The 23365-nt window shown below is 55.9% G+C and overlaps 2 protein-coding genes and 1 long non-coding RNA gene across 14 annotated transcripts in view, besides 2 other annotated features; 2 read left to right on the forward strand and 1 right to left on the reverse strand.

Moving 5' to 3' along the window:
* Window positions 1–3482, forward strand: part of GLB1L2 (galactosidase beta 1 like 2) — a 44337-nt gene extending 40855 nt beyond the window's left edge. For 2 of the 4 annotated variants that reach the window (NM_001370460.1, NM_001370461.1), the window contains 4 exons: window positions 879–966; window positions 1303–1414; window positions 1760–1876; window positions 2130–3482. In NM_001370460.1, coding sequence (NP_001357389.1) covers window positions 879–966; window positions 1303–1414; window positions 1760–1876; window positions 2130–2216 — 404 coding nt within the window. In that variant the 3' untranslated portion in view covers window positions 2217–3482. The remainder of the gene's footprint in view (window positions 1–878; window positions 967–1302; window positions 1415–1759; window positions 1877–2129) is intronic. The other 2 variants (XR_007062523.1, NM_138342.4) reach the window with 2 other exon arrangements.
* Window positions 3619–4518: an enhancer, noted in NCBI's record as "H3K4me1 hESC enhancer chr11:134246355-134247254 (GRCh37/hg19 assembly coordinates)". NCBI's record gives its function as "activates a minimal SCP1, AML or CMV promoter by ChIP-STARR-seq in naive H9 embryonic stem cells {active_cell/tissue: H9 hESC(naive)}" and the evidence as "EXISTENCE:reporter gene assay evidence [ECO:0000049][PMID:30033119]".
* LOC124902798 (uncharacterized) lies at window positions 3954–5499 on the forward strand. Its single transcript, XR_007062961.1, has 2 exons — window positions 3954–4412; window positions 5222–5499. It is a non-coding gene; the product is annotated as an uncharacterized LOC124902798 (long non-coding RNA).
* A 162-nt stretch (window positions 5500–5661) lies between these two features.
* Window positions 5662–23365, reverse strand: part of B3GAT1 (beta-1,3-glucuronyltransferase 1) — a 33739-nt gene continuing 16035 nt past the window's right edge. For 2 of the 9 annotated variants that reach the window (XM_047426771.1, XM_047426772.1), the window contains 7 exons: window positions 20744–20975; window positions 15002–15098; window positions 14706–14852; window positions 10838–11346; window positions 9868–10164; window positions 9082–9182; window positions 5662–7905 (listed from right to left, as the gene is read on the reverse strand). In XM_047426771.1, the coding sequence (XP_047282727.1) occupies window positions 9096–9182; window positions 9868–10164; window positions 10838–11346; window positions 14706–14852; window positions 15002–15005 (1044 nt within the window). In that variant the 5' untranslated portion in view covers window positions 15006–15098; window positions 20744–20975 and the 3' untranslated portion in view covers window positions 5662–7905; window positions 9082–9095. The other 7 variants (XM_047426773.1, XM_024448439.1, XM_011542753.3 and 4 more) reach the window with 7 other exon arrangements.
* Window positions 20590–21420: an enhancer, noted in NCBI's record as "H3K4me1 hESC enhancer chr11:134263326-134264156 (GRCh37/hg19 assembly coordinates)". NCBI's record gives its function as "activates a minimal SCP1, AML or CMV promoter by ChIP-STARR-seq in naive and primed H9 embryonic stem cells {active_cell/tissue: H9 hESC(naive and primed)}" and the evidence as "EXISTENCE:reporter gene assay evidence [ECO:0000049][PMID:30033119]".

The raw sequence follows: 23365 nt of genomic DNA on the forward strand, positions 1-23365 counted from the left end.
CCACCCAGGCCCACACTCCTTTACCCTAGACAGCTCCCTCTCTGGGCCTGTCCTCACTTCTGTTGTTCTCCTGGGAGTTGGAAGGAGCACCAGCCTGACCATTGTTCCTAACTTTGCTTCCCTGAGCCCTTGTTGAGGGTCCCCTGGGCCCACACTGTGGAGTCCTGTCCTCTGGATCACAGTTCAATGTTTATAAGTCACAGACCTCCCTTGAGAAATGCGCGTGCCCACATAGACCCGCACCTGCCATTTCGGAGTCTGTAGGCCCTGCAAAGCCTCTCCACAGTCCTCGGCCTCCAAATTCCCAAGCTAGCCACTCAGCAGCTCTGTAATCTGAGACTGGCAGGGCTGGCCCGGCCCCGGGACACTGATGAGTGGCTCCTCAAGAGGACACATCTCTTCCCTGTTGGATGCCCGAGGGAGGGTGCCATCTGCTCACAGTCCAAACACTCCTAATGCACAGCTTTAATCCTAGGTGGCAGAGATGATTCTGGCTGAGTTATTAGGTCTGTGTAGCTTGGGCCCCACTGAAACTGGCCCTGCAGCTAGGCCAGAACCCTCTCGGTCATCTGGAACTTCCTTCAGAGAGAGGCCAGAGGTTGTTCTCGCCCTGTAACACCTCAGCTCTATATCCTTCCCATGGCAAATCTTAGGGTCTTCCTCCTTCCCGTCCCCCACAGAATTGCTAGGGAGCTTTGCTTGCAAGCGAACGGCTTCCCAGGGAGCGTACACTTCAGTACCCCTCACCCCAGCTTCTCAGGGAGCGTACACTTCAGCACCCCTCACCCCAGCTTCCCAGGGCTTCCCCTCGTGGCCCCGGCCCAGCTGACTCGGCCCCTGCCTTTGGGCTACCCACGTGTCCTGCCTCCCTCCCACAGGCTTAATTGGAAATCTCTATCTGAATGATTCACCCCTGAAAAACTTCAGAATCTATAGCCTGGATATGAAGAAGAGCTTCTTTCAGAGGTGGGTCCCTGCCCAGCACCAGCCCTTGCACTCACAGGTATAGTGCTGTGTGGTGGGGCCCAGGGGTCCCTGGTGCACCGTGGCCTGGCCCGCACCCAGGTGTGAACGCCTCCAGGGGCCAGATCGGCTGGCCGAGGTGAGGGGTGGCACCCGCACTAGAAGCCGCATTTGCAGACTAGGAATTCCCAGCATCCTACCGTGCTGCCATTCTGTGTCCTGGTTAAGAGGCGGGGGGCCTTGGATGGGGAAACGGTGTCAGGGCCTTTTATTTTGCTTTATTGTGCTGGTGGATTGAGAAGGGCCTCCTCCCTCTCCTTCTCTGTGTTCTGTCCTTAGGTTCGGCCTGGACAAATGGAGTTCCCTCCCAGAAACACCCACATTACCTGCTTTCTTCTTGGGTAGCTTGTCCATCAGCTCCACCCCTTGTGACACCTTTCTGAAGCTGGAGGTTGGTAACGCCCTTTTCCCTGCCAGTTTCTCCCACCTGCCTCCCGCCTTGGAGGGCTCTGAGCCAAAGCCACGAGCTTGGCGAGAGTCGTTGGTGGCTTCTGTGCCCAGAGGGTCTGAGAGGGCCGCTGGGGCCTCCCTGGGCCAGAGGAGTGGGTTCCCAGCAGAAGAAACACCTCATGCACTAGGGGGACAGGAAATAGAGCATCCCACCTGCCCACCCTCATGGCTGTCCAGACACAGCTCGCTTTGGTCTCCTGGACCTGAGAGAAGCACGCATGCATGTCTCCCTCCACTTTTGCTGTGGCTCTCGTGGTAGATGAACACCCTTCCCCTCTGTTTCAAGGGCTGGGAGAAGGGGGTTGTATTCATCAATGGCCAGAACCTTGGACGTTACTGGAACATTGGACCCCAGAAGACGCTTTACCTCCCAGGTCCCTGGTTGAGCAGCGGAATCAACCAGGTGGGAGCTTCCAGCCCCTTCCTGTTCCCCATGACGCCCTGCCCACCTGCCGTCCCAGGGAGCCTTCGGTCAGGGTGGAGGGGCGTGTCAGCGGGTTCTTCCTCCCTCCTCCTCGCTGCAGACGAGTTGTTGGTCCCTGTCCCTTCCAGCCTGGTTCCCAAACCCTTTCCTTCTGACCCTGCCACCTCTCAGCACCTCCCCTGGCTCCAGGACAGACGTCAGCTGCCCTCCCAGCCGGGCCCTCTCTCCACAGGTCATCGTTTTTGAGGAGACGATGGCGGGCCCTGCATTACAGTTCACGGAAACCCCCCACCTGGGCAGGAACCAGTACATTAAGTGAGCGGTGGCACCCCCTCCTGCTGGTGCCAGTGGGAGACTGCCGCCTCCTCTTGACCTGAAGCCTGGTGGCTGCTGCCCCACCCCTCACTGCAAAAGCATCTCCTTAAGTAGCAACCTCAGGGACTGGGGGCTACAGTCTGCCCCTGTCTCAGCTCAAAACCCTAAGCCTGCAGGGAAAGGTGGGATGGCTCTGGGCCTGGCTTTGTTGATGATGGCTTTCCTACAGCCCTGCTCTTGTGCCGAGGCTGTCGGGCTGTCTCTAGGGTGGGAGCAGCTAATCAGATCGCCCAGCCTTTGGCCCTCAGAAAAAGTGCTGAAACGTGCCCTTGCACTGGACGTCACAGCCCTGCGAGCATCTGCTGGACTCAGGCGTGCTCTTTGCTGGTTCCTGGGAGGCTTGGCCACATCCCTCATGGCCCCATTTTATCCCCGAAATCCTGGGTGTGTCACCAGTGTAGAGGGTGGGGAAGGGGTGTCTCACCTGAGCTGACTTTGTTCTTCCTTCACAACCTTCTGAGCCTTCTTTGGGATTCTGGAAGGAACTCGGCGTGAGAAACATGTGACTTCCCCTTTCCCTTCCCACTCGCTGCTTCCCACAGGGTGACAGGCTGGGCTGGAGAAACAGAAATCCTCACCCTGCGTCTTCCCAAGTTAGCAGGTGTCTCTGGTGTTCAGTGAGGAGGACATGTGAGTCCTGGCAGAAGCCATGGCCCATGTCTGCACATCCAGGGAGGAGGACAGAAGGCCCAGCTCACATGTGAGTCCTGGCAGAAGCCATGGCCCATGTCTGCACATCCAGGGAGGAGGACAGAAGGCCCAGCTCACATGTGAGTCCTGGCAGAAGCCATGGCCCATGTCTGCACATCCAGGGAGGAGGACAGAAGGCCCAGCTCACATGTGAGTCCTGGCAGAAGCCATGGCCCATGTCTGCACATCCAGGGAGGAGGACAGAAGGCCCAGCTCACATGTGAGTCCTGGCAGAAGCCATGGCCCATGTCTGCACATCCAGGGAGGAGGACAGAAGGCCCAGCTCACATGTGAGTCCTGGCAGAAGCCATGGCCCATGTCTGCACATCCAGGGAGGAGGACAGAAGGCCCAGCTCAGTGGCCCCCGCCCCCCACCCCCCACGCCCGAACAGCAGGGGCAGAGCAGCCCTCCTTCGAAGTGTGTCCAAGTCCGCATTTGAGCCTTGTTCTGGGGCCCAGCCCAACACCTGGCTTGGGCTCACTGTCCTGAGTTGCAGTAAAGCTATAACCTTGAATCACACCCCCTCTGGTGATAGTCTCTGGTCATGTGTGCCACTCTTGCCAGAAGGGAAGGCTGTCTGAGAGCTTGGTTTTCTTGGTCAGGTTCCCATTGGGCCCCACTTGCCGCCTGGGGGTCCAGATGGGGACCGTCCCTGGGGTGGGTGGGCCATGATCCTGGCCTCATATTCCCCTCCTGACCCCGACTTCCCTTCAAATGTCTCTGGATTGGAAGTGCCCTGGAGAGGACAGTTCAAATGCAAATTCATTCTCATGCTGGTGGGCGGGGGTAAGAATCTGCCAGGCAGTCAAGGGCGCTCCATATGAGTTAACTGCGGGGTTGAGTTTTGCTTCACAAACTACATCTGGCATCTACTGCCAAAACCAAATTATCTCCAGTAAGAGTCAGAAAGTCAAGTAGCACACACATCCCCGGCACAGCGAGAGCTCTGGGAGCCCCGTGAAGGTGGGCTGGGGGATGGTGAGCCGTGGAGCTCACTGAGGCCAGCAGGCTTGCTGCCCGTGTGTGGCTGCCCAGGGGGAGTGCAGGGGACATTCGTGGTGTGCAGCCCAGCAGCTGAGCCGGGTCAAGGGCTTATTAAATGGAGCTTATTAAAGGAAAGCTTGTGGACAGTGGCTTGGGAACAACATGGGGCAGAGTCCCTGGTTTTGCCCAAACTCACCAGTTCTTCTGGAACTGCCTCGGAACGACAAGCATGGGGCTAAGATGTGGATGAGACTCGGGCTACTTGGGTGTGGCCTGAGCCACCTGCAGGGTCTTCTGCCCCGCTTTACCTGAGTGTGTGCTTCTGCAGAGCTGTGTATGAGCTGGTTCCGTCAGAAAGTGATGGAATGGAAGGGAACCTTCCTGCAAATCCTCCTGTAAGGTGGAGAAGCCCCTTGGATCACACTTCCACGCAGACCTGAGCAGGACACACTGTGGTTTCCTAAGGTGAGGTCTTCCTACACCAGCTTCTTATTCTCACCCTTATTTTCTGCCAGTTAATTGCTCAGCTTCTCTATCAAAGTACCTCTTGGCAGAGCTTATTCTCCAGCGTTGACTAAAGATGTTTCCATTATCTTCCACACGGTATGGCCTCATCTAGGTCTCTTTGGAGAATCCCTCTTCATATCCAGCCTCTGAATGCTGGGGGTCTCTGGCCCACTCCTTGGGCTGTTTCTTTCCTCTGTCCACACTCACTGCATAGGGTCTCACCCGTGCACCTGTGGTTTGTAAACAGGTTGGACACCCGCGCCCGCCGATGCTGGGCTGCACCTGAGCTCCAGGTGTGTGGGGGCGCATTTTCTTCTGCATGTGTCTAACAGGCACCTGACACAGAGCTCCATTTCCCCACATTACCCCTCCTGCACGCAGCCCTGTATCTGGAAATGGCAGTGCTGTTCTGTGTCTCGGGCTATTTTGGACCCCTCTCTTTATCTCCCACATCCAATCCAGCAGCAGATCCTCCTGGCTCTGCCTCCTAAACTTGGCCAAAATTTGACTGCTTCTCTCTGCCCCAACCCCATGCCCCCACTCAGCCCACTGCATCTTGGCCTGGATGATTCCAGGAGCCACGTCTCCACCTGCCCTTGCCCTCTCCATTTATCCTCCGTGGAGGAGCAGGGCAGTTCTTCTTAGAGATGGATAGATTATGTTAGTCCTCCGTACTGGACCCCCTATTGCCTTCTGGTTTCACCCGGTGCCTGGGGACTCCCTTCTCCCACGCCCACCACATCCCTCACTGCTGTTGCCCCCAGCAGCCCCCGCCCCGTCAGTTGAGCCCGATGGCCTTCCTGCTGATCTGTAAGCAGGCTGAGCAACGCTTGTTCCGCCTGGTGGAGAGTTCGTTCTTCTTGGGCCCGGGGAGCTGCATGTCAGGGTGTTGCTGCTTCGCTCAAGGGTCACTTATCACGGAGGCCTCTGTGGTCACCCTACAGAGCACTGACCCTCTCCACTGCTACCTCTGTCTCCCCGACTCACCCTCATCCTCCATACAACAGATTGCATCTGAAATAATATGCATTCGTTATTGCCTGTCTCCTCTCGTCAGTGGGTCAGTTCTTTGAAAATGAGAGCCTTGTTTTCTCACTGCTGTGTGTCGGCTCCTAGAATGATGCCTGTTCATAACAGGCACCTGATACATACTTGTTGGGTAGCTAAATTAATAAATGAGAACAAAATAAGGCAGGGCTGAAGAGGATTAGGACTGTTAAAAACTGTATTTGACTTTTAATTTTGAAAGCAAATTAAATACAGTTAAATTAAAACAGACCAGATGCAGCTGCCTGGGTGCCACCCTCACCCCAGCCTCTGTTCTTAGAACTCCTAGCCCCTGGCCTCACTCCTGTGTGGTGGGGCTTGCCAGCGAGGGAGCAGGGAACAGACTGGGTTTGGAAAACAGTGGTCATCATGGACCCATTTCTGATTTATAACAAACTCATTCCCAATAAAGATGAAGGCTGCAGTCCACCAGGGTTATAATTATAAATAAATATACATGCAGCTAAAAGAGGATATTAGGTGAAAACAACTGACCTAGCATCTGCCCAAAGAAGTCCCCATTTTGTTGTTCATTATCAAAGTCCTGAAAATGAACCCTAGGTTTTTGGCTAAGAAGGTGGCCTCAGACCAGCCAAGCTGACCTTGGCACTTGGCTGGCTTCTGTGAGGCAGTAGAGTGCCCACACATAAGCTCACCACCTGTGCCCACCTCCTCCCTTCTCTCCCATGCCACCCCACTTGCTTCCAAGGGCTTGGTTTCCAAAGTGACATCCAGGGTGTAAGAGGTTGGGGAAAACGTCCTGCAAGGTGGCTCAGGGATCTGATTCCATCAGATGGTCTCATGAATACTGTGGGAGATTAAATCCATCTCAAAATAGGCAACCAATGCTATATTCTGAATGTTAGGTCTCTGGACTGAGTCCCACCCACCCACCCACTCAGGAGTGGGTTCTGAATGGCCCTCAGACCTCTCCTGGTGAGTCTTAATGGGGTGGGAGGCTGTTAGTTAAAAAATAAACACCTCTTCAGTAGGCTGGGGCCCTTTCCTTTTCCTCCACTTGGGGGGAAAATTGTGCTTCCAACTTGCAGGAGAATGAGCCGGATCACCACTAGAGAGCCCGGCTGGGCCAGGGGGTCAGAGCCCTTTCCAGTGGGCCCCAGAGGCCTGGGGAGGGCAGGAGTTTGAGGCACACTGTTCTTTCTCCAGGATGGAAAGTGGACAGCTGGACATGAGGTGGGCTAGCTCTGCATGCTCCTGACTTAGGGAGAAATAACATTTTCTTTCCCTTTTTTGTGTTTAGAATAATTTCCAAAGCAGTGTGCTCAGGCCTCCCTCCTGCTCAGTGTCCCAGCAGCCCCTGCCCCCTCTTTCCCAGCCCCTCTGCTACTCCAGAGTCCCTCCTCCTCAGACCAGGGGCAGGAGGGAGTTAGGGAATGGCCTTGGCCTCCCTCCTCTTTCCAGGCTGCAGGAGGTCCCACCTTGCCCACCACCCACCGCCTTGCCCACTGCCCACCATGGGCTCACTCCACCCTGAGGTCTGTGGCTCTGAAGAGCTGCAGGAAAAGGCGCTTTCCCTCCCCAGTCCAGTCCAGGCGAGGGGCCTAGCAGCCGAGGTGGGCGGTGGGGAGGCAGTGTGTGGACAGTGGGGCCGTGGGGTTCTTAGTCCAGGTCAGGCAGTGACCTGTGCTGGCTCTAGAGCCTACCCCTTTGCCACTGCTGGAGGAGAAGGGGTAAAGGAAGAGGGGCCGGAGGGGGGGACTCTGCTCCCGCCACAGCCTGAGGTACAGGGGGTGCCTATTAGGCCCAGGCTCCCCCCATGCAGGGCTGGGTGCCTGTTGGGATCCAAGACAGCCTTATGCTCTGTAAACGTGAACCAGAGGAGAGCCACAGAGGTATGTCTGATTTGGGGGCAGCTCTCGGGAAGAGCAGGGGCCCAGGAGAGGAGCAGAGCGCTCGTGATGCCCGTGGGCTGCTCTCTGGTCTTCAGAATTCCCTGGCTGGGTGTCCTGTGTGGTCGTGCTGAGCCCAGGGACAGGGAGCCAGGGAGGGCCATGCTCCACTTGACTGCGGGGTCTTCTTATCTCCCTCCCGCCCTGCATCACTGCAGGGCCAGTGTGGGCGCCCACTGCACCTGCTCCTGCAGCCCCGTCAGTGCGGGGAGCTCTGGGGAGGTGCGCTGGAGCACCAGCTTGGCTGGTGCTGGACACCCCACCCTGGCCATCAGGTCTCTCGGGCCCTGGTCACGCTGGATGGAGAGAACAACAGGTCTGGGATTTCTGTGCTTAAATTCTCTGTCCTTTGTTCTGGCATCAGGCTGGGCTCTCTCAGAAGCCCCCAGAATAGAAAGGAGGGTGATGGTGATTCCTTAGGAGTCGGCCTTGGAGGGACCATCAGCCGTGGGGAGAGGATGGAAGGCCAAGAACAGGGTCTGAGGAGGAGGCTCCTGTGAGGGGAGAGGAGGAATGAGTGAGGTGTCGGCTGAGGGTGGGGCCGGGGAGGGAATGGCCAGGCAGGGCCACCAGGACCTCTGCAAAGCCCAGGCCCCCAGGTCCTGTGGGGGCCTTTCTGAGGGGCAGGTGGGGAAGGTGCTTCCAGTGAGGGCAGTGAGGGCAGGAGGCAGAAGTGAGGCTCGGTACAGATGCATTCTAAGTGGCGCTGGCCAAGGTGACTGAGTGACACCCTGTGGTCCTCTGCGGGCAAACACAATACAGAAGCTATTGCTTAGCTCCAGGGCAAGAGGACAAATGTCTGTCTCAGGCCTCAACCTCTGTTTGGCATAACCTAGAGTAGGGAGTCAGGAGTACCAGCTGCTTTTAAGAGACAGGATAAGATCACAGAAAAGCCCCTGAAAATGCCTGGCTTTGCCAACCACCCAGCACAATTCACTCGTGCCAGTGTGTCACCTTGGAACATTCATTTAGCTTCTCTCAACATCATTTCTTTGCTTCTGAAGTGTAGGTGGATCCTGTGGCCTACTTCCAGAGAGGGCTTTAAAGACTTGAATAAAAATAGCCACACTGATGAGATTTAAGTGCCATGAACTGTTCTAGGTGCTCTCAGCAACCTACTTCACAGATGAAGAAACTGAGGCCCAGAAAAGTCAAGTCAGGTCAAACAGTGAAGAGCAGGGGTCCTGGGAGCTGAGGTGGGCTCTGGGTCCGTGCTGTCACTCTGCGCTACCTCTCACTATGACAGCCGTGGGCTCATTGCTGTGGAGCAGCGAGTCCGTGAGTCCTCACCATGGCCACGTGGTGAAGGAATCCACAGGGGAAGAGGCAGACTTGGGGGGACAGACGCTGGCCAGCGAGAGTCTGAATGGCAGTGCCTTGTGGGGTGCAGGCGTCACTGCCAGCAGAAAAATCAGCAAGATGTTTGGAAGGTGACACCCTCTGAAGAGTCTGGTGGCAGAAGGACCCAGCTGCGTGGGTGAAAGTTAATGCCTGGATACTTTCAGGTGGCCCAGTGGGAAGGGGACTGTGGTGACGACGCCCTCCACTCCTGCCCACATCTGCCCTGTCCTCCACAGTGAAAGCCCAAGAGGAAAAGAATGAGACAGTTGATTCGGCCCAACCTGGTGCCGCCCTGCCCAGTGTGTGGCCCACCCTCGTCATGCCCATACCTGCATCCTGAGGCTCAGATCTCCACCGAGGGGTCAGTGAAGCCCTTCTTGCCCTCATTCACCAGCACTGGCTTCTCTGTCCGTGTGTGCCACACCAGGATCTGTGTGCCCAGAGATGCAAAACATGGTGGGACAGGCCCCTGACCTCACTCTGCTGCCTCCCTGCTCCCTCCCACACTGTGTAAACATTTCTCCTGCCCCTCCTTTTCCTTCGAGAGTTTTTCAATTGTTCCATCAAGATTTTCTCAATTGTTTTTTATTTATTTTCTGTGGCTCTCGACTACCCCCTCATTTTTGCTGTTTTTACATGTGATGCCTTCGGAATACCTGCTGGAAATGGGAAGTCTAGAACTACAGAAAAGAGAAGCCCCAAGACTTCCCAAGTGTGTGTGTGTGCATACGTATGCATGTTCATGTGCATATGTGTATATGTGCATGTCTGTGCATGTTCACCTGCATATATGTGTGCATGTGTGTGCATCTGCATGTGTGTGTGCGCACATGTGTGCACGCGTAGGCATGTGTGTGTGCATGAGTGCTCAGCAGGGAGGTGCTGGAGCACGGCTGTTCTGTGGGAGGTTATAACTCCCCAGTGGCCATTGCTCTCCCTTTCCCTGCCTGTCCGCAGTGTCGCTGCCTTACAGGTGATACACTGCCTTCCTGGGAGGGGGTTCCAGAAAGCCCAGGCTATTTTGAGGCCTCTGTTTCCTTCTCCCGATCTGTAGGGAGGGTCTGGATGTACTTGAGACATTGCATCACAGCTGTCAGTTCTGCGGAGGGTCTCACCTTGGTGCAGTTGGCTGCCTTGGGCTCCAGGTCGTTGAGGGTGACAAGTTCTCGAAGGAGGCTGCTTTCCTGGTAGCCTCCCTTCACACCTCGCAGCTTGAAGTAGGCCTGGCTTCGCTGCAGAATGAGCCGCAGGTTGACGGCAAATCCAGCCATGTCTATTGCAAATGGCCGGTGGGGGTCAAACACCGTCTTCCAGCCGACCACCTTCCCTGCCCCGTTCACCCGTGGGGCCTCGTACCGCAGGCCACCCACGAAGGCGACGGGCCACACGGACACCCTCCTGGTGCTGCGCATCTACAAGGGGGGGGTCCAGAGTCAGGGCGCCGGCACTGCAGATGAGGACGGCCGCGCGTGCCCAAGGGAGGCGACATCCTTCAGCCACCTCTATCTATGCCCATGGCCAGCCGCGGCCACCTAGGGGGTGTCCAGTACAGCCCTGCCCCCAGGACCCATCCCATGGGTTGGGCACCTGAGAAGAACCTGCCCTGGGCTGCCGGGGACACCTGACCTCTCAGACGGCCTGGTCTTCCCCTTCTCAGCGTGGCCCTGCTGCTGTTTTCTCCCTTGTCTAAAACCTTTCAGTCTCCCCGCTCTAGAGTGTGAAGTGACTCCCCTTGTCCCCGAGACTAACACAGCCCATATACTCAGGCGAGCTCCAACTGTTCCACCTAAGAGGTTTCTGGTAGTCACGCAGAATGACCTACTCACAAACCCATTCAGGAGATACCTCTAGGGCCAGGAATATGGTTTAGGGGCTCCAGAGCCACCTGTCTTCCCCCTAACTTGTGGGGGATGCTTTAGCCCGCAGTTCCATCCCTTTCCCTGGCTCTCTGCTGCCTGCCCCGCTCCCAGCCCGGCTTCCCGGGTTCCCCCTGCGCGCGCCTCCGCACCCACACCCCCTTCTCGGGAAGCCCCTCCACTCCCCGCAGCCGGAGGTCCCGCTGCTCACTGTCGGGCCCTCCCTCACCTCTTCGAAGAGCTCCAGGCTGTAGGTGTTGTCGTCGTCGGCGAAGTAGACCACGCCAGGCTGGCTGGAGTTGCGCGGGAAGGTCTCGCGCAGCCAGCGCAGGGCCAGGTTGCGCTGCATGGTGCCCCGCGGGATGCGTGGGTCGCGGGCGTCTCCGCGCAGCTTGTAGTTGCGGGGCGTCTCCACGTGCAGGTGCGTGTAGTTGAGGCCGGTGTCGCGCAGCAGGCGCGCGGTCAGCGGCGTCCGGCGCGGCGCATCCTCCACCACCAGCCAGTGGAGGTTGGGCACGTGCAGCAGCGTGTTGGCCATGCGCGTCAGCTCGGCCTTCTGCACCGGGCGGCTGTAGGTGGGCGTCACCACGTGGATGGTGGGCAGCGTGTCGGACCATGGCGGGGGCCGCGTGTACACGTACTCGGTGCGCACCACCTCCACGATGTCGCGGTCAGACGTGCAGTACTCCCTGGGGTCGGCGCCGGGCGGCGTTTCGCGTCGGGGGTCACTGCCCTCATCTGCGGAGTCGGGAGACCGGCGATGTGGGAGGAGAGCGCCGGCTACGGCCCTGGATTCAGAGCGGGACGCCACCCACCCTGCCAGGGCACCCTCCTCCTCCCCCGCTGCAGGGGCTGCTCAGACCCCCGCCTTGCCTGACCTGTTAGCTCTAAGGTTGAAATCTGCAGCCCTGGAATCCTCTCTGGGAGGGTCCTAGCTCTGATGACACAGACATAACCTCTTCCTTCCCACCTTTGCAGCCCTCTAGCTATTTGAGCGCAGTTGCCCATATTCCAAGATTGCATCCTCAGTTCCTGAATGTGCTGACTTTCCTATGAAAAGGCGTCCCGACCCTCCCCTCCCTAGCCCTACTCATCTGGAGGGAGCTGGCCACACTGCCCTGTGCAGGGCTGGGCTAGCAGAGCACGTGGCACTGCCCCGCTGTGGTGTGGACGCCACAAAGCCCCAGGGCCGCAGCACTGCGGCAGCAACCAGGGCCCACTGTGGGCCCGCAGGAGCCTGAGGCAGCTCCCGGAGTTCTCAAGCCCTCCAGTCAAGCGGGGCCTCTTCCCTCCTGGCCTTACGTAAGGCATTCTCTGAATCTCGGTGCAGAACTTCCTATTTCACCGCATTTTATTCTCGTGGGTTTTGCCCATAGTTGCCAAGGTATATGTAGATCTAGCAGTCCTAGCAAGAGGAGAAATCAGGGCCATTGGGATTCTTGTTTTCCATGCGTCCCTTCTCTCCAAATTCTGTCCTTCCATCGGAAGGGCTCATGCACCAATGACGGTGTGGCCCTCCTGTCCTAGCTTACCGTCGGGTGGTAAAGGTAAGAAATCCCGGTGCCTGGGCTGAGACCCTGCCCACTTCTGCCGTTACGAACCCTGTGCCCTTGAGCAAGCTGCTTAGCTTCTGGCGCCTCAATTTCAGCAACTGTAAAATGGAGCTAATAATAGCATCGAACTTATCGAGTTATTATGTGGATTAATGAGTCCACAAGGGCTGAGAGCACCGCCAGGCACAGTTTCCTCTCTTGCGGAAGGGCAGTGGCCAACTCTGCTTCCTTCTGGCTTCAGGCAATCGGTGGGGACAGAACCAGCAAGTCACACCAAAGGGGAGGACCCCGGGCATCAGCTCTTCTGCTGCCTCCCTCCGGCCACTGTCATCGGCAGCATGTGGGGTGTGTGGCACGCTAGCGTGGAGCTCATCTGAACGGACCCAGGAGGCCTGCTCGTGGCTCTTCAGGAGTTCTCATGGGCAAATGGCACCAGGCACACAGCAATTGCTGAGGGTCGGGGGAGGAAACCAGCACACACGCAGTCGCTCAGAGGGGGCTGCTTAGAGGAGTCTGGGGTCAAACTGTGAGAAGAGCAACGTGGAAGAAAGCGGGATGGGTGTCTAGGGTTCTGACCTAGACAGAGGACTTAATTCATCCTATGGGCAGTCAAGTTTTGGAAACTGAGGCCTTGAGAGGAAGTTTGGAGCCACTTTGTCCACCTCTCTGCCACCCAAATCATCCCAAGGCCGCAGAGGACCTGTGCCCTTGGACAGTCCCCATACATTAGGGCACGGCTACTGCGTGTGCTCCTGGGCTTCGCCCTTCCCATTGGCTTCAGGGCGTCTGCAATTTTGGGTCCTAAAGGCCTCCTGGTGACCCTAACTTCACTCAGCTGCAGCTTTCATTCGCTTGCTCTTGGCATGCTCTGGGGAGACAGAATGCCAAGTCCCCAGCCTCAGGCAGCACCATCAGTGCTTAGCAAACAGCCTGACGTCTCCAGCGCTGGAGCTCTGCCAAGAACGCAATCGACACGATATCATGTCGCTTTATATATAGTAGTTTTAACCCCTCTGGAGTGATGTATTTGCAAGATAACAATGATTCTGAACTGACAAGCACAGAGAAGAGGCCCTAGGGTCGGGAGGAGAGGATGATGTCAGGAAGACAGGCGCCAAGTGCCAGCCACGGGCAGTGGGCTGCCGCAATGTTGAGCTTGGCCCTTCCTCATGGAAGCTTCAGGAACAGCTATGGGTTTGCAGGACTTGGTATTTGACTGTGAGGAGCAGCACGACTTCAGGCTGTGATTTTTGGACACTGCCTGCATCTTGGGGTTACAGGCACTCACCACCTCTCTCTGCATGGGCTTGGTGCTGCCTTCTTGTTTATCACACTGCCAGGTGGTATCATGCACGCTGCAAACGAACAGCTGCCTGACCCCACGTGAGCCTGTGCATGTAAGTGGGGGAGGGGGCAGAAAAGCACGAGACAAAGTGCTGAAGAGCTGGGGCAGCCAGCTGTGGGGTGCGTGGCAGGTTTGGGAGTGAGAGGGAAAGGCGACCCAGGACCCAGAGCCAGGGGAAAGGAGTTCTACCCCTAGTTCTTCCACTAGTTCTTCACGGGACTTTTCCTCTCTCCAGCCCTATTTCCACCAGGTAGCACTAGATCAGGGTTTCCTACACAGGAAAAGAAGAGAGGCAAACAATATACTCTCTGTGAAAGGGTTTAAAACACACTGCAGGCCAGAAATCCTATTCCTCCCCCACCATCCACTTCAGAATGGTCGCTTTCCTTGCATGTCATGAAATGGCATGTGAAGTTGTACATGCGTGTCTTTCTGTGTATGTGTGTGTATTAATGATGTTTGTTTTTTAAGTTTTTCTGTATTTTAAGATGCGTCGACATCTTGGGGGACTTGCAGATATGGGGAGGGACTGCCCCTCCCGGGACTAGCTAATTCCTAGTGACAGTACACACCTTGCCTGCAAACACACTTTTCATATGCAAACTACCTGATCTAGAGCTCATACCCACTACCACCTTTATGGAGCTCTCCCACCCAAGCCAATCTTCCGCTGCCCTAAACCACCCCAGGGCGATACCAGACAATTAGAAACCACACCCATATCCTAAACCCACTGACTTTCTTCAGACTATGCAATTCTGGGCCAGCTCAGCTGCCGACAGTGCTTCGCCCTTCCCTTCCTATGAAAACCACTTTCCTTCCTACCAAAACCACACTAAAGACTCCCACTCCCTCCACTTCCCACCTCCCCCTCCCTTCACTTCCCACCTCCGACCTCAGCACTTCCCCAGGGGGCAGGGCGTGCCCCCTCCTCTTGGGTGCTGAGAGTAACAAGCTCTTCTTTCAAGGCAACTGTCTTGGTGTCTGCCAACCTACCATCCCAGGCATCTTAAAACTGTGTGGGTAGCTTCCATTAGCTTCCCATTCCCAAAGGGGTGCAAGACTCATGAAGGGGCCTAGATGATCCCGTGGTTCCTCCTAGCTGCTAAGTGAGTGCAAGCAAGAACCCTGCGTGTCAGCTGTGGTCACTGTCACTACCAAGGCCCAGCTGGGCAGGCAGGGCATGCGTGCGTGCTCACCCTTATGTACCGCGAGCAGGGGTGCGAGGGTGCTCTGGTGCCAGACAGTGATGAGCAGAGTCCAGGGCAGCACGATGAGGACGATCGCTAGGATGTCCCGTCTCTTCGGCATCTCCAAGGCTGGCTGCACCCACGGCTCCTCATTACCTGAGTGGCGGTAAGTTCAGGAGAGGGGCGGCCACGGGCGGCGGCAGCACAGGGGAGAAAAGAACAGGCATGGGCCGGGCCGGCCAGGCATGGAGAGGACAGAGCAGCTGAATGTTGGCTAGCAGGTCTTACCAGCACTCACAACCCACCCATTGCGGAAGCAGGTTTGGAGAGTCCGGCCCAACTGGAGTCTGAGAAGGGGTCGCTGTCCAGGGGCAGGGGTCAGGAACCCTGGGGGGTGGACACCTGCAAGAGAGAGCAGAAGCGGATAGCCAGAGACCCAGGTATAGGAATGGATGCCAGCAAGGCTGGGCCCTGCTCTGGGACACACAGCATCGGGGGTTCCACAATGGAGCCTCAACTGTCCATCACCTGAGGACCTCTTTTGTCTGCCTGTTAGAGTGGAATGGGCTCTGTCCTTCCCACAGGCACAGGGCCATGGCTCTGCTCCATTTATGAAAGTCAGTAGGGTGCAGGGGTCAGAAGCACAGACTGCAGAGACACCAGGTTTAAATCCCAACTGTGCCACCCACAGGCTGTAAGACCTTTGCCAAGTCATTTCCGTTCTCCATGCCACAGTTTTCCCATCTATAAAATGGGGCACTGTGGATCCCTACCTCATAAGGTCATTCTCAGAATTAAACAGGGTAACTCCCGTGCAGCCCTAAAATGCCAGCTACTTATCAAAGCCTGGATAAAGGGGTGAGAGGTTTTATTTTCTCTCTCTCTTTTTTCTTTTTTTTAACCATATATGGACCACGAATTATTATATTAAAAATAATTTCAACATTTTAGATTTGGGGGCACATGTGCAGGTTTGTTATGGGTCATATTGCATGTGATGCTGAGATCTGGAGTATGATGAATCCCGCTGCCCAGGTATGAGCATAGTACCCAACAGGGCGTTTTTCAGCCGTTCTTCCTTTGAGAGTCCTCAGTGTGTATTCTTCTCATGTTTACAGTCATGAGTACCCAGTGTTTAGCTCTCACTCATAAGTGAGAATGCATCGTGTTTGGTTTTCTGTTCCTGTGTCAATTTGCTCAGGATAATGGCCTCCAGCTGCATCCAGGCTGCTGCAAAGGCCATGATTTTGTCCTTTTTTATGGCTGTGTAGTATTCCTTGCTGTATATGCACCATGTTTTCTTTACCCAGTTCACCACTGATGGGCACCTAGATTGATTCCATGCCTTTGCTATTGGGAATAGTGCTGCGATGAACATACAGGTGCAGGTGTTTTTTTTGTGAAACACTTTATTTTCCTTTGGATACATACCCAGTAATGGGACTGCTGGCTAGAATGGCAGCTCTGTTTTAAGTTCTTGAGAGATCTCCAAATTGCTTTCCATAGTGGCTGAACTAATTTACATTCCCACCAACAGAGTATACGTGTTGCCTTTTCTCTGCAGCCTCATCAGCATCTAATATTTTTTGGCTTTTTAGTAATAGCCATTCTGACTGGTGTGAGATAGTATCTCACTGTGGTTTCAATTTGCATTTTGGTGACAGTCTTTTGAGGACAAAGAAGAGATGTTTCTGGGATGGTCCCTGGGGGGAAGTACGAGAGTGCCTTCCTCTTCCGTGTCAATAGGACATCCTTGTGGAGCACCGCTCTGTGCAGGACAGAGCACCAGGTGCTGGGCTGGGCAGCAGCAAGAAGAGGGGTCCCCGCAGGGGCTGCCACATTGAGGGGAGACAGTCCTCCAAAATGAGAACAGCAGGGGGCCCAAGTGAGGAGAATGAGCCACTGGGATTCCTCAGTCCTGCAGAGGGTCCACTGGTAGCATCTCTGGGAACCGTTCTCTCACATGGCAAGGACACTGGGCGAAGAGACCTCCTGACCGCCTTGGAAACTGTCACATCCTCTTCTCCTCCCTTTTCACTTCTGTGCTGAGCACCATGCATGATGCAGCAGGGACCCGTGGGGGTGGTGGGGAGGGCAGGCAGCCTCGGGCAGCCCAGCCAGCCTCACTGTGCCCACCCGTCCCAGTGCCCAGTGTTGGATACGGACAGTACCTCACCTGGGGGCCATGCTGCCTGCTCCTGCCCCAGCTCACGTGTGCTCACCATTTCAGGCAGAGTCGAGTGCTATGGCCGAGGAGGGTTTTTAGCCCCTGAGTTTCCAAAATAGCGTGTTTTCCTCTCCTCACCGGGTCCTCTCTCCAAATAGTTCTGACGCCTGTGGAAGACCAGGATTTGTCTTCCATTAAGGAGCACTGTGGTTTCCCGGGACGGCCGGCATCCCCTCCATTAAGGAGCACTGTGGTTTCCCAGGACGGCCGGCATCCCCTGCCCACACCCCGCCATCAGAGGCCCACTCCATCCAGAGAGTCTCCCCCACCCATTCCCCGGGGAGTGGAAGACCCACTGGGGTTCAACGTCACAGGCACGTAGTTCCCCTAGTGGACATTCTAGGCCGTGTGTGTCTGTGTCCGCCCGTAAACTCCTCTTTGCTGGCCCAGTGAGGGACAGAGCCTAGAACCCCACACGGGATGCCTGCTGGGTCTTGTGGTCTGAGATGCAAGTGACTTCATGCCACATCCCCCAGATTTAGCCTGTCCCTCCACACCCAGGCCACTGCTGGGGCTGCATGGGGCTGCGTGTCAAGACACGTTTTGGTTCTTTGGCCAAGACACGTTTGGATCTTAGGCCACATCTGATGAAGGATGGGGAGGCTGGGCCTGGCTGGGGCTTCAGAAATGTCCAGGAAGATTTCTTCTGTGTTCTCAGAGACTCTCGAAGGAGCTTTCTCAAGTGCTCCTGGTGTTGGTGCAGGTTCTAATACCAGGATGGAGAAAGCCAAGGAGAGAAGATGAGTGTCCTGCCAGCTCAGTCCCTGTGGGCCACTGCCTTTCCTTTGGGGCAGCCTCTCAGCCCCCGCTTGCACTGTTGTTTATACAAACTTCCCTATAGCATGAGAGATGTCCGAAGATGAGGCTCAGCTCTTCACATGCACCTGCTCCTGCAACGTCACAGCAGCCCTGTGCAGTAGGCATGGCTGTGGTCCCTGTGGGTTCATCGAGGCCAGAGAAGGGGAGTAACTTGCCTGAGGTCAACCATTAGGAAATGGTGGAGCTGGAATTGAGTCCAGGCCATCTGGCTCTATGCTGTCATCGGGGGCATAGGATAAGAGGTCCCAGGCCTCCAAGCCTCTCGAACCTGGGCCAGGCGCAGGGTGGGTAAGGGGCACACACAGGCCAAATGCTTCCTCTGGCCTGGACCACAGCCACCCTCCTCTGCAATGGCTGCCCCCACTGCAGGGCCCTAGCACCTGCTTGGAGGCTGAAGCAGGAAGGAGGGGCGGGAAGGGAAGAGAGGGGAGGATGGGGCCTGTGGGCAAGGGTGCCGTGGGGTGCCTTCTGCTCCCATCCAGTCTTTTTGGTCAAAACATCTATGAGAGAAAAGGGAGGGGGAGAGAGGGAGAAAACCTCTAAAAATAAACTCAGCAATAAACCCAGTTGTGCATTAATTACTCTGGAAGCCATTATGGCTTGAAAACCCCATAACTTTAATGGAGGCTATTATAAGCATAGTAGCAAAATCGTGGAGCTAATTACCAGGCAGTTATCAAGCAGAACACAGAGAGCCCCCAGCCTGGAGAACGCCAGCTGGCCGGCAGGGGGCAGGTCGTGGGATGTGATGCCTGGGCTGGGCAGGGGCTTGGGGCCAGGCAGCGGGTGGGCTGCACCTGCCCCCAGCTCTGGGCCCCAGTCTGAGACGGGGCTGCAAGGTTGGCCAGCACTGGTCCCCTCTCGCAGCCTGCTGCTTCTGCCTGGGGCTTGGAGGAGGGCGGTGTTTGTCTGTGGTCGCAGGCTGTCTCTAACAAGGACCCCAGAATGGCTTCTAGGACCTTGGGTCAGGCAGAAGAATCAGCACAAAGGTGCAGGAGTGGCTTGGCCACACCCAGGAGAGCCCAGGAGATGGAGGCAAGCACGGGGAAGAATGGGGTGCTGGAGGAGGAGATGGGTGGAGGCACAAGGGGGACTTCGTGGAGAGGCAGGACGCGGCGTGGGCAGTGTGTGTGAGTGTAGGGCCCAGGCCTGCCGTGGTCACAACTCCCATCCTGACACTTGCACCATATCTGTGACCAACCTCAGATCTCAGGCGTCTCGGCAAGTAGAGACACAAAAGGCTGTGCCCTGCCCTCCCCGGGTGCCCTCAGAGCCTCAGAGGGAAGCAAGCACTTCCCTGTGGGAGAGTGGAGGGTGGTTCCCAGATGGGGAGCAGAAGCTGGGGCAGCACATGGGAGTGGGAGGGTGGCGGCCTGGACGTGTCCGGCAGGTGCTCCACGGGGACCTGGGTCATGCTGATTGCCCTCCTTGACCTCGTCTTTACAATAGGGAGGTTGAGCTGGAAGTTTCAACGATCCTGCCATTTTAGCAACTGGAGGTTACCATAGGGCTCTGCGAAGATGAAGGGATGTCCTATGTGAGGAAAGTGTAGCTCAGTGGGCACCTAGGGCCAGAGGCGAGGCAAGAGCGCCAACAAAACAGCCTCCGTGGAACTGAGTCCTGACTTAAGGGCCAGCACCCGTGGAACTGAGTCCTGACTTAAGGGCCAGCACCCATGGAACTGAGTCCTGACTTAAGGGCCCGTGGAACTGAGTCCTGACTTAAGGGCCAGTATGCCTATGGAGATCGGCCATACTGGGAACACCTCTCTGCAGGAATTTGTGGCATTTGGTTTTGTTTTGAGAGACAGGGTCTCACTCTGTCACCCAGGCTGGAGTACAGTGCCATGATCACAGCTCTCTGCAGGCTTGAGTTCCGGAACTCAAGTGATCCTCCTGCCTTAGCCTCCCAAGTAGCTGGGACCACAGGTACCTGCCACCATGTCCAGCTAATTTAAAATTCTTTTTTGTAGAGACAGGGTGTCACTATGCTGTCCAGCTGGTCTCAACCTACTGGGCTCAACAGATCCTCCTGCTTTGGCTTCCCAAAGTGCTGAGATTACAGGTATGAGCCATGGCACCTCCAGAGAGGAATTTGTCTATGGGTTTTAGGGTGCTGTGCGCTGTGAATAAGGACTAGGGGGTGTCTGGGACTCAGATGGGAAGGCTCTGATTGACCCAGGCTGGGGCAGAACATGTGAGGCTGGAGCATGTGCAGGGGTGGTTCAAGGCTGGCCAATTGTAAAAGCATGGAAAGGTTTTCTTCTGAGCCTGCAGGTGTTCAAACGAAGGCCTCAGCAATGCCTCAGGCCCTGAGGAGAGGAGCTTATTTAATTTCACTCAACAAATATTAATTGAGCATCTGTAGCAGGCAAAGCACTGTGTTGGATTCTGTGGGCAATCCAGGGTGGGGAAGCTTTGCTCAGTCCAGAGCGGAAGAGACGACACAGCTCGCTCCAGTGCAGGTGACGTGTGAACGCAAAATGTTCCCAAAGGCCTGCATGCGTGTGCGTGGTAGGTTACAAACAAGCTCAGACACTGTCCGAGGTACTCATCCCTGGAGGACGAGAAAGGCCTTTTTACCCAGTAAGATGGGAACAGTAGTTAAGTGGTTCATCAAAAAAGTCCATTAAGGCGAAGAATCTTTCCAAATGATACATACATGCCATACATTTCAATGTAAGTAACTCGCAGAGCCAGTTGTCCCATAGATGATGTTTCCCCAGGACTGCACAATGCATGCTAATTTTTCCCAAATCCGAACGACCCATCCTTGCTGGCTCTCAGCACTTCCGCTCAGCCGACACGGGGTCAGGGAGGTCTGTGCTGACCGTCTGACATCAGCCACATCGCAGCATCCCGCTGCGATCTCGTTTTGATTTCTTCAAAGTGATTCAAGGGCTGAGGAGCACTTGGTGAGCAGTCTGAGTGTAGCACCCTTTAGAATATGACTTTTCCCTGCCAGCCTTTACCTAACTTGGAGAACTTTTTTCTGGACTCACCTTATGAAATTTTCATAGAAACAACACATTTACTTCAACACGCTATTTCAACAGTTTACATGACATTCTGTGATGACAGTAGCAAGCGAGACGGTGAGTGCTGTGAACAGGCTGGGAACCGGCGTCACTGACTCTTGAGGGCGTGGGCTCAGTGGTGACAGCAGAGGGAGCCCCAGGCATCACACGGCGCCGGTCAGTGTGCTGTGCGGACCGGGTGCAGGACACCAACCTGCTGGTTAAGACAGCTGCTGTTCATATCATCTCTGTCACCCAGGAACCCCAGTGCCCCCAAAGAGAGGGAGGGACAGGCTTTGTCCCACAGATCTCCAGGTGCCCCTAATGGGATCAGCGGATTAGTATTGATTCTGCAGGCGCTGCTCAGGAAACGCCTGATGCCACAGCTAATCAGCTCCCAGCCCAGTCAATCCATACTTCATTAACCTAACCCCGGCCCTCCTGCCCCCAGCACCACCGCCTCCCGGGCCCACCACAGCCCTGCTGGGGGGCAGGACACAGGCACTGACCTCACACCATATAGGAGCCACTTTCCCAGGCCCCTGCTCCTCCTTTGCCCTGGTCACCGACTGCAGAGGGCTGGGGAGGGGCCCCATAGCAGATTCCACTCTGAATCTTACATTGAAACAGTAAGACTCCCTTTTCCATAAAGCCCAGTCCCTCGATGTTCAGAGCAGCCACAGCATGAGGCAGACACACAGATCTCGTCCCCATTTTGCATGTGAGGACACCAAAGCTCAGAGAACCTGAGTGATCGGCCTAAGGTCACTGCGTTAGGTGTCAGCAGAGCTGCTCAAACTCGGGCCTTGGCCTCTGTGTCCAGTGCCACCCGTGCCCACACCACGTCCCCCTGCAGACCCTCCCCTGGCCCACCCTCGTGCCCACCCACTGGGCAACCCTGCTCCAGGGCCAGAGCCCCCTGACCTTTCATCCCCTGCATGGCCTACCTCAGTGGTCGGGCCGAGTGCCCCCAGGAAGGCACTGCTGCTCTCCCCCCACCCTGCCCTCGCCTTGCTCATGGAGGAAGAGTGGCAAGCTTGGGCCCTGGGATGTCTGCACTCTGCTTCCCAGCCTGGGTCACTGCAGGCTCACGCTTGGGACTGCTGATGGAAGGGCAGCGTGAATTCCAGAGCTCAAACCATCTTGTTCCCTTCTAACTGGGAAAACCCAGCCAAGGACTTGGGCAGAAGGAAGTATTAGTTTTGTTCTGATTTGGTGCAGAGAATATTTTCACGCTTTGGTTTTCTTCCAGCATCAGAAATGTAATTCACTGACTTTTTTTAGGTAGTTCCTTTGTTTTTCTTTTTTTCAGAAATAGTCTTTGGCTTTGATTTTGATTATGATTCAGTAAAAAATGGAAACTGGGGTTTGGCTTAGTATAGTACTCTGCAAGTCAAAGTCCATTCTGGCTAACTGCAGGAATCTCAACCGAATACACTGTTGGCCCCGGCTGGTGTCACTGAAGTTCCCTGAATCATGTAGCTAGTGGTCTTCAGGCAGCAGTTCATCCACTCACCCCAGAGCCTCCATGCAGGAGGCCCTGAAGCAAGAATTGGGGCTTCACCGTGTGACGACATCACTTGCTGCTGCTCTCTGCTGGGGCACGCCCGGGGGCGGGTGGGGAAGCGGGGATGGGCACACAGATGCTCTGCAGGGGGACGGACAGCCGGAGAGGGAGCGGCAGCTGGAGAGAAGGCTAGCTGAAGGAAGCAAACCTGATAAAGGATTGTGGGACGCTGGACAATGGTGAGCCAGGCCCATGGAAGACCCCAGAGAGGAGCCATCCCACAGCAGGTCATGATGGGTGATGGGAGTGGGGGTGCTTCTGCTTGGCCGAGTGGAGGAAGGCGTTCGGCAGGAATGTGCTAACCATGACCGGACGATGGTGCACAGAGCACCACTTGGCCACTTGACCCCTGCCTGCGTGATAGGGATTACTGAGGGTCATGCTATCTTTGGGATTTGTGGGACTGGCAAGTAGTCCTTGTACAGAACCCTGGAGCCCAGCCTGGGATTGGGGGAGAAGTCTGGTATTGAAAGGTCCTCGCTCCCCAACCTCCTTTGCCCTCCTTCCTTGCTACCTTTCCATCCTTGCCCTAGGCCCATTCTAAAAGCCAGGCCCACTTTTGGAAGGAAATGTCCCCACTCCCAAGACAAGTATATTCATTTCCTATCCTATTGCTATCTAACCAATTCCTACACACTTGGCAGAGGACAGCCCCCATTGGCTCTCTTCAGTTCCTAAGGGTCAGGAGTCCAGGGTCTCAGAAGGCTGCGAAGTATTGGCAGGGCTGTGTCCTCATCTGGAGGGCTGACTGAGGAAGACTCTGCTTCCAAGCTCACTTGGGTGGTGGTGGGAATGCGGGCCATGGCTTCCTGCTGGCTGTTAGCTGGGACTGCCCTCAGCTCCTGGGGGCTGCTTGCAGATCCTTGCCACATCGGTTTCTCCAACATGGCCACTTACTTCGTCAATCCAGCAAGGAAGGGATCTAGAGCCAATCTGCTAGCAGATGGAATCTTACAGAGCACAGTGTAATCCTGGGAGTGATGGCCCAATGCTTTTGCACAGTCTGCTGGCTAGGAGCTGGTCACGAATGCCATCCACAC

Source organism: Homo sapiens, chromosome 11 (genome assembly GCF_000001405.40).
Source record: "Homo sapiens chromosome 11, GRCh38.p14 Primary Assembly".
NCBI classification, from domain to species: domain Eukaryota; kingdom Metazoa; phylum Chordata; class Mammalia; order Primates; family Hominidae; genus Homo; species Homo sapiens.